Source organism: Homo sapiens, chromosome 2 (assembly GCF_000001405.40).
Source record: "Homo sapiens chromosome 2, GRCh38.p14 Primary Assembly".
NCBI classification, from domain to species: domain Eukaryota; kingdom Metazoa; phylum Chordata; class Mammalia; order Primates; family Hominidae; genus Homo; species Homo sapiens.
The window spans coordinates 20,957,922-20,966,143 of record NC_000002.12 but is presented as its reverse complement, the minus strand read 5'-3'; the positions used below and the strand labels follow the sequence as shown (position 1 = coordinate 20,966,143).

The 8,222-nt window shown below is 46.6% G+C and overlaps 1 annotated feature.

Moving 5' to 3' along the window:
• Positions 3,041 to 3,090: an enhancer, noted in NCBI's record as "active region_15409". NCBI's record gives its function as "activates an Ori minimal core promoter by ATAC-STARR-seq in GM12878 lymphoblastoid cells {active_cell/tissue: GM12878}" and the evidence as "EXISTENCE:reporter gene assay evidence [ECO:0000049][PMID:35858748]".

Below are 8,222 nucleotides of genomic sequence, written 5' to 3'. Positions count from 1 at the left end.
TGTTTACATTAACATACTGCCCGAACAGAGAAAATATATATTTTAAGAAGAAAATGTGAATCCAGGGTTACAAGAATGTTTCTGAAACAGCTAAGTCATCTTGTTTCAAGTAAAACCAGATGTTTGCATCAAGAGAAAGCCAATCATTTCTTTTAATTATGCTCAATGGCCAGGCCACCAAGAATACCCACATGTGTACACATAAGCCGGTGGAAATCAAAGGCTTTGTGACAGAGAAAGCAATCAGCAACTTCCAGACCACCAAATGGCATCCCAGCACCAGCTCTGGGCACTGTTTGAGCTCCTTCTCTAGGAGAGCACTCGGTGAGATGAGACTTGCTTCCCCCAGCGCCAACATCTCATGTCCCACCTCTGTCCCTAAAGAGTCCAGCACAAGGCCAGGGGTGAATTCCCTAGTCAAGATTCAAGATTCAGGGTGAGGGTCAACAGAAAAGGAACCTGGACAGTTAAGCTGTCTTCTTAAATGCCTTCCCAGGCCACTTCTCTATCAGGAAAGCCTCAGAAATATCTTAATGCTGAAAGAGGTGCAGTGGGGGCTCATGCTCTAGCCTGCATACCCAGATGGTAGAGGAGCCTGAGTTCATGGGAAACTTACCTGCTAGCTTGGCCTACACTCTGAAGCACTGTGGGGGTTTGATGGCACTGGTGGGAAGTCACACTCCGGCAGGTGGGCAGAGGGGATGGCGTTGGGGATGTCCACTTCCCTCTGATGGCTGCTGGGCTCAAGTCAGGGAAAAAGCCCACTTTCCAGTGTGGAGACTCCAAGCACAGTCATCATTGCCTGCTACGGTCTTCACTGGTGGAGCACAGAGACTTGGCACTAGAAAGACTCCGTTGTCAAAACGTTCCCTGTGAAAAGAAGAGAGTGGCCATGGCCCCAAAGCTTCCTCCCTGTACAACCACAGTGCCTGAGCTTTCCCTAGGTGGTAGTTTTGAATATTTGTTCCAAAAATCACTGCAGAATTATACTGCAGTGTTTCTCCTAATAGTAGTGCAAAAACTTAACACACACTTTGAGTCTGTTCCCCGAACCACGTTGTTTAAGCACGAGCTTCACAGTTTTTACTATCTACTATTATTGGTTTTAAGTTAAAATGCCTTCTTTTCTTGTCTTTTCTATTTTGTTTTGTATTATTTTTACTTAGATTATTTAGTCTTTTCCTAAGAAAAATTATTCATGAAATCACAGGTAAGGTATGCTAATTGTATATATTTGTAATATGTGTTAAATACATAAGCATTAAAATAAAAATATTTATCTATGTTTTGGCTAAAATCATTTCACAAAACACTATCAGTACTTGTCCATGGTTTTGGGAAATGCCACTTGAAGATATTTTGTAGAATTATAGCATTTCTTTCAAACCTTTCATCAGATTCCTTTAAATGACACAGCAATAAGCGATTTTCAAGGCAGTAACACTGATCCATGGCTCTGGGAGCACTGGAGCCAGCTCTCAGCATATTGATTGGCATCGGGGGGGAAGTAAGCCCCTGCTTTGTTCTGCCTCATTATAAACAGTGGCCATTTCCTATCAAGAGAATAAGGGAGGGACATCTTCTCCAGGATGCATTGTGAGGGTTGTAGACAAGTACTCAGATATGCATGTAATGTTTCCTCCCTGTCTTCATTTGTGCCCCCAAATTTCCATGATTATTTCTGTTTTTCTCAAAATGGTTCCAGCATAGGAAGTTTTCAAGGAAAGTGAATCCTGTATCATTATTAAACTAAGAGCTCTGCTTTGAACTTAGCCCAGAAGTCAGACCCACGTCTGTGGAGCAGGCATTTGCTAATCACTTCTTGGCTGCGGTTGACTGGTAATGTCCTCAAAACCAAACCATCATGGGGATTCTTGAAGTCAGAAGGGAAGCAAGTTGTTTAAAAATAAAACACTCCCTACTTTGGGCCCCCAACTCTATAAGATAGCAGCTTAACAGTCTAAATGATTGTTTTGAAATGTGCTTTGACTCCAGTTTTGCTAAATGTTTACTTGGGTCTTTCAACCTCATTGATTAAATATCCTGACTTGATTCCAGGCCAACCAATCCTACCATGTAACAGTGGAGTTCCCTTGCCCGATGTGCTTCATGCATGGTGCACTGTACACTGTTACTTCATAGCTCGGAAACTTCATCTGAAGGGCCATTTCTGAGACTCTACTCATTCATTCATCCATTCAACCTTTTAACACACAATTATTAAGCACCTATTAAATGCAATGGTCCAAGATAATTTGCTATGGGAGATTTGAAGATGCATTGACCATGAATATGAAACCTCTAACCTTGGAGAGACTTCAGGTCCATATTTCTGCAGACAATTGACCTTTATCAATCCCAGGACAATGCTAAGGGACATTCAGTCCCCCTTTGATTTACTAGAAATAAATCTCAGAACAATGCAACATGCTCTTTAAGTAAGAGTTTTTTTTTTTTTTTTAAATCACTTATCTTGCCTCTTGCAAGAGGTTGAGTCAAATGCTGAAGGGAATTTAACTAGAGTCTTAATTGGAAATGCAAAGAGTTGCTGATACCATCAAAAAAGGAAGAAGCTGAGGGAAGTGACAAGACAAGCTCTTCTTTCTAAACATCTGGTCCCACTCTCTCAACAGCTTCATAAAACACTGTTCAGAGCCGGCAGATGCATCAAGAGTACCTGGCATACAGCTACGTACCCTGAAGCAGGTGGACCTCATCAAACTTTGGCTACAAAGTAGTTCCCTATTAGCTTGCCCTTTGATTTACATTCTCGCATGAGAGTATCTCCAGGCAACGCATTTGAACAGCAGAGGCCTTTGCAGAAAACTCACAACACATGTGAGTTTTTTTTTAACATGTGGGATGCTACTCCACCTGGGGGTAAGGCTCACCTTTTGAGAACAAGAAGAGGGGAAAATCTGGACAGCCACAAGCCAGTCAACAAACCCAAATTGGATGCCGTGGCTGCAGTGAAGTATAGAGCTCACCACCAGAGGGCAGCAGTGCACACAGACACAATGTAACCTCCACATTGGAGGAGAAAACAGGTGGAAGAGGAATTAGCAATGTGCCCAAGGCTCACAGTAAGTACACACAGATGGAGGCTCAGAGCCCTGGCCTCTTACTCCCAGCCAGTCCTCCTCCACTTGCCCCCAAGGTCTCAGGAAGAGGTCATTGTGGATGGTTAGGCATCTTTATTTTACAATTGAAGTTGCCTGGTCAGACCTTAGCATCTCCTCCCAGGGAGCATGAGAGCCCTCAGCAATTCTGAGATGCTGGATGCTCTAACTTTTTTGACCTTGACCCATGGTAAGAAATACATTTAACGTTGCAAGCCACTTTTAGTATACTGTCTATCATGTGCAAAACAGCAGCACATTTTTACAAAGCAATACCCTTATTTCTCAATTCTGTCTCTTTTTTTTAATGCTAGACAGGTCTTCATCCACTACTCATATCACACTCTACTAATTGGTCACCAGTGCTGATTCAAAGGGTGGCATGGAGAGTGGCCCTTCAAAGAAAGTAGGCTGCCCCAGTCCTCTGCTCTGTTATCCCTGGATGCTACAGGCCCTGCAAGAGCTTAGGAGGGGTCTAGGGAGCTGAGCTCCTCCCATCTAAGAGGGAGAATCATGGCCCAGGGAAAGTACCATAGATAACCTTAACGGATAATTTAGCTTCATTTTGCCTATGTCATTCCTTCATTCATTCCCTCAGCAAACATTAACTCACCACTGAGAGTTTAGTCCTGTCCTTAGCCAGCCCCTGCCAGGAGGTGGTGACATGTGGTTTTAAACATCCACAGCCTTCTCCCGCAGCCTACAGGTCCCAAGACCTCTGTGGGTCCTGATCCTGAAGTTTGTGTGAAGGAGAAGATGGGAAGAGTGAATGGGGAACAATCTGAGGCAAGAGGACCAGAAGATGCTCATGGCTCAGGGGCTGGACCAGGCAGAAGCTGCAAGGGGAATTTTCTGACTAGAGGCTGGAATCTCAACACATGGGCTCAGAAACAGAGGCTCCATGACGCTTCCTCCTGCCGCCAACCCATGCACCTCCCGACTCAGAAGCAACCCCCCCGCCATGGGGCACAGCTCATAGATCTATTCTTAACGTCTTTCCTGAGACTCTGCCAAGTATTTCACTTGCTCAATTTCATTCCCTTGCTCCCTGCATGTTATTTTATGAAGAAACTCAAACGAGGAGACATCTATCAATTATCAACCCCCAAGTGATCCTAAAGCCCTGCTTAAATGCAAGGGCGAGATTTTAAATCTAATTCCCTGATGTCTGGGGTGAATTCCTGGTGAGGTCCCACAACTAAACAGAGAGCTTCCTGCCTCAATTCTGGAATTCATCTCTGCTAAGGGAAGAAAATGCATGACAATAAAAATCTGCCAAGCCCTAAAGCTAGGGCTCTGTCCTGAGGATGCTAGCTCAGCCCTCTAGCTTGGCACTGTTCTCTCATCTCCCATCTGCAACTGTAGCCCAGAAGACAAAAATGACTCAGAAGAGAACTGGTTCATTGCAAGTGATATTTATTGGGTGTCTACAGGTTGCAAAGCAGTGAATTTAGCATCAAGGAAAATAAGAAGATGAGTTATACCCAATTACTTCTTCAAGTTTTTCCACAGTTGGGTAGAGGAGGTAAGATAAGCCTTGGCTTGAGTAGCAGCCCTCTGAGAACCCATCCCTCTCTCACCCAGGGTACTGGGCCCTTTTTTGACCATGCTTCTTCCCTGAACCTGTTCTTCGCTTACCACATGAGATTGTATTTGTTGGCTCACCTGTCTGCTACTCAAGTAGAATGCCATTTCCTTATGAGCGGTTTGGAGTGATGCTCAGCTACTGGCTTCAAAAAAGAAGGAAGGGGCCGGGGCCCCAGGAATACAGGCACTTGAAGGTGAAAAAGGGAAGGGAATGAATTCATCCCTGTATTAGCTTGTTCTCGCATTGCTGTAAAGAACTACCTGAGACTGGGTGATTTATAAAGAAAAGAGCTTCAATTGATTCACAGTTCCTCAGGCTGCACAGGAAGCATGGCTGGGGAGGCCTCAGGAAACTTACAATCATGGCGTAAAGTGAAGGGGAAACAGGCACATCTTACACAGCCAGAGAAGAAGCAAGAGAGATCGAGGTGCAAGGTGGCTACACACTTTTAAACAACCAGATCTTGTAAGAACTCACTCACTATCACAAGAACAGCAAGGGGGAAGTCTGCCCCCATGGCCCAATCACCTCGCACCAGGCCCCTTCTGCAACATTGAGAATTACAGTTCAATGTGAGATTTGGGTGGTGACACAGACAGTTCAATGTGAGATTTGGGTGGTGACACAGACAGTTCAATGTGAGATTTGGGTGGGGACACAGAGTTGAATTACATCAGTCCTAGAAAGGAATACAGCCTTGCCAACACCTTACTTTTAGCCCAGTGAAGCCCATGTCAAACTTCTACAGAACTGTAAGATCCATGTGTGTTTTTTGAAGCCAGCAAATTGTGGTGACTTGTTATAGCAGCGATGGGAAGCTAAGACAGATTTTGGTCATTTTCTTTGAAACAAGTACTCGTGATTCTCTTCTGTGCTTCAGGGGAGACATCACCAGGTGAGACAAAGGTGACCTTCTCTTGGAAAACCAAGGCCATAGGAAGAATTGTCTGGTTCTGTCCTAGCTGGGAAGGAATTGGAAGCTGGTTCTTTAAGGGACAAAGAGAAGAGGTCTGCCTCCAGGGAGTGGGATCCTGAGGCTGGAGGGTGGAAGGGGTCCCTATCCCATTTGCACACAGAGTTGGAGAGCAGTTGGACCTGCCAGAGGTGCCACGGAGATGTGGCTAGGAGCATCAGGGCTGAGCCTACCCTGGAAGTACCCCTTGCAGAGCTCGGCAGAGTAGGAACAAGGCTGACAGTGGAGCCAGCTGCCTTCTAATGAACCACATGGCCTGGGCAAGAAACCACAGCTGTGCACCATTCACATCTGCAGCTGTGGCCTCTTCCACACTTCTCCTGAATCACAAAGCCCTGAGGTTCTCATATGACAGTGAGGGACAGGGAGCCGCGAAAAGCAACAGATATTAGACATCAACTGTGGTAAAAAGAGTCCTTCTACTAGATTTAGTAGTGCTGTAGAAAAACAAAGAATTACTACCTTTTTGTAGGGGGATGGGGAATGTACACCTGATACATAGTGCCCTCTGATCATCACAGGTGTGAAGTCCTGGCTGAGCAGTGCCAAGCTGAGCCCAGGAGTGATGGTAGGTACAGGGGTGCTGTGCCTCCGGGGTGTCCGGAACCTGCAATGCTGCTGCTCATACCCACACTTGCCTTTCTCCAAACACCAGCCCAGGGCACATCATCGAAGACTCTGAATAAATAAAGCAGAGCAGAGAGTGGAACTCAGTTCTGACTCTGAGCCCTGATTGAGCTTCCGTCATTCTAGAGCTGTGCCTTCTCCAGGGTTGTAAGCAGCATCAGGGTGCCAGGGAGGCCTGTCGGTCAGCAGCCCTAGCTGGCCCTGCCCACATGCCCATCACACCAGGCCATTCTGCTGTTCTGGTGCCACTCTCACCCCTAGGGAAGCCCAGTGCGCGGTCCCCACCTCCTCTGCATGTTGGCTACCTTCTCAGGATGCTGTCTCATGGGTATGTGGGCATCCGCTGCTGCTCACAGAACCCTCGGACCATCCTCCTGCCCCACCCACTGCCAGAAATCTTTTTTTGGATTAAAGGAGAAGGAAGATGGGAAGTCCCTCTGTCTTCATGTTTCTTCCAAAATCTGTCTCCTTCTCTCTCATTTTCTTTCTCTCCTCAAACCTTCCAGACAACCAGCACTATCTTTTCAATAGTTTCAGACTCTTTGGGAATAAAATCCAGGAAGGAAAGTGTATCTTGCAGCAACTTTTGTTTTTAAGCTAACCACAAACACCCCCTGAGATAAGGATGCCCAGGGCCTCTAACTGCTTGAAAAAGGATGGGAAACTGGGAAAATACAGGGAAAGGTAAAAACACCAAATCATATGTTGAAAAAGTTACCCTGACACAATAAAAATAATAGCTGTAATTTCTGCACCCACTTTTTAAATAAATCTTTCTTGAGTGCCCTCTCTCTGCCAGCATCATAGGGTGCCCCAATGCAGTGTTCCTGCTCTGGCAGTCTTTCCTGCTAGGACCGGGAGCCAGACAGCACGCATAGCCAGACAGCACACATAAACAAGAAATAAGAAAACATCCCACCATGGAAAGGGAATAGAGGGCGCTCTGATGGACCAGAACTGGCCACTGCATTTAGAGGGGGCATCACACCCCTCTGGCGTTTAAGCTGAAACCTGAATGGGAGGAAGGACACATAGATAGACCCTGCGCTGAACACCTGTGATTGTCTTGCTCATGTATCCTCCCAGCCTACCTGCAGAATCTACATCCTTATCTCCATTTTGCAGATGACGAAACTAAGGTTCATAGAGATGAAGTTTCTTACCTTAGATAATACAGCTGACCACAAAAGAGCAAGAACCGGACCTGGGGTCTGTCTAGCTCTGAAGCCACAATCCCTTTGAAAATACTAGGAGGGGGAGGGGGATCAGTTGCATCCCTCTTGGAATTTTCCCAAATGTTCTAAACAGAAATTGTTTTTTTCCCACCAGGTGCTGACATTTCAATCTTTCCTCCCTAGTCCACTGGAAAAGGCAGCCGTCCCCCATGTGAGAGGATAAAGTTGTCCAACAGCCCCCGGCTGGGCCTGCTCTGGCTCTGGCTGGCCACCGGCCCACCCTCCGCAGCTCTGCCCTGTGGGCTGGCCGGGTGGGGAGAGAACTCCACAGGCCAGATGGGCTGAGCGGAGCCCAAGGTGGCTGGCTGTGGGTATTCAAGCCTATTTTTATTCACAAAAATCTGTTCTGGATTTTATTCCGCTTTGGGGCAAGGAGAGGTCAACTCTCTTCACCTTTGCTGTAAGATGAGAATACGGCAGGAAATGAAGTGACAGGGAAGCCAACTGGGAAGAGGGAGAAAGGGCAAATTACTGGGAAATTAGAAACCTGTGTTCAGATCAGAGGGGAGGGTGTCAACGCTCCCGCTCCCACCGGGGCCCTTCTTCCCGAGGCCAGGGATGCAGAGACGCTTGACAAACCCCATGTGAGGGGACGGGTGCCACTCAGGTGCTGGCGGCACAACACACACACTGACCCAGCCCAGGCCTCCAGAAGGAGGTTCCAGCTTCGATCTGGTGCT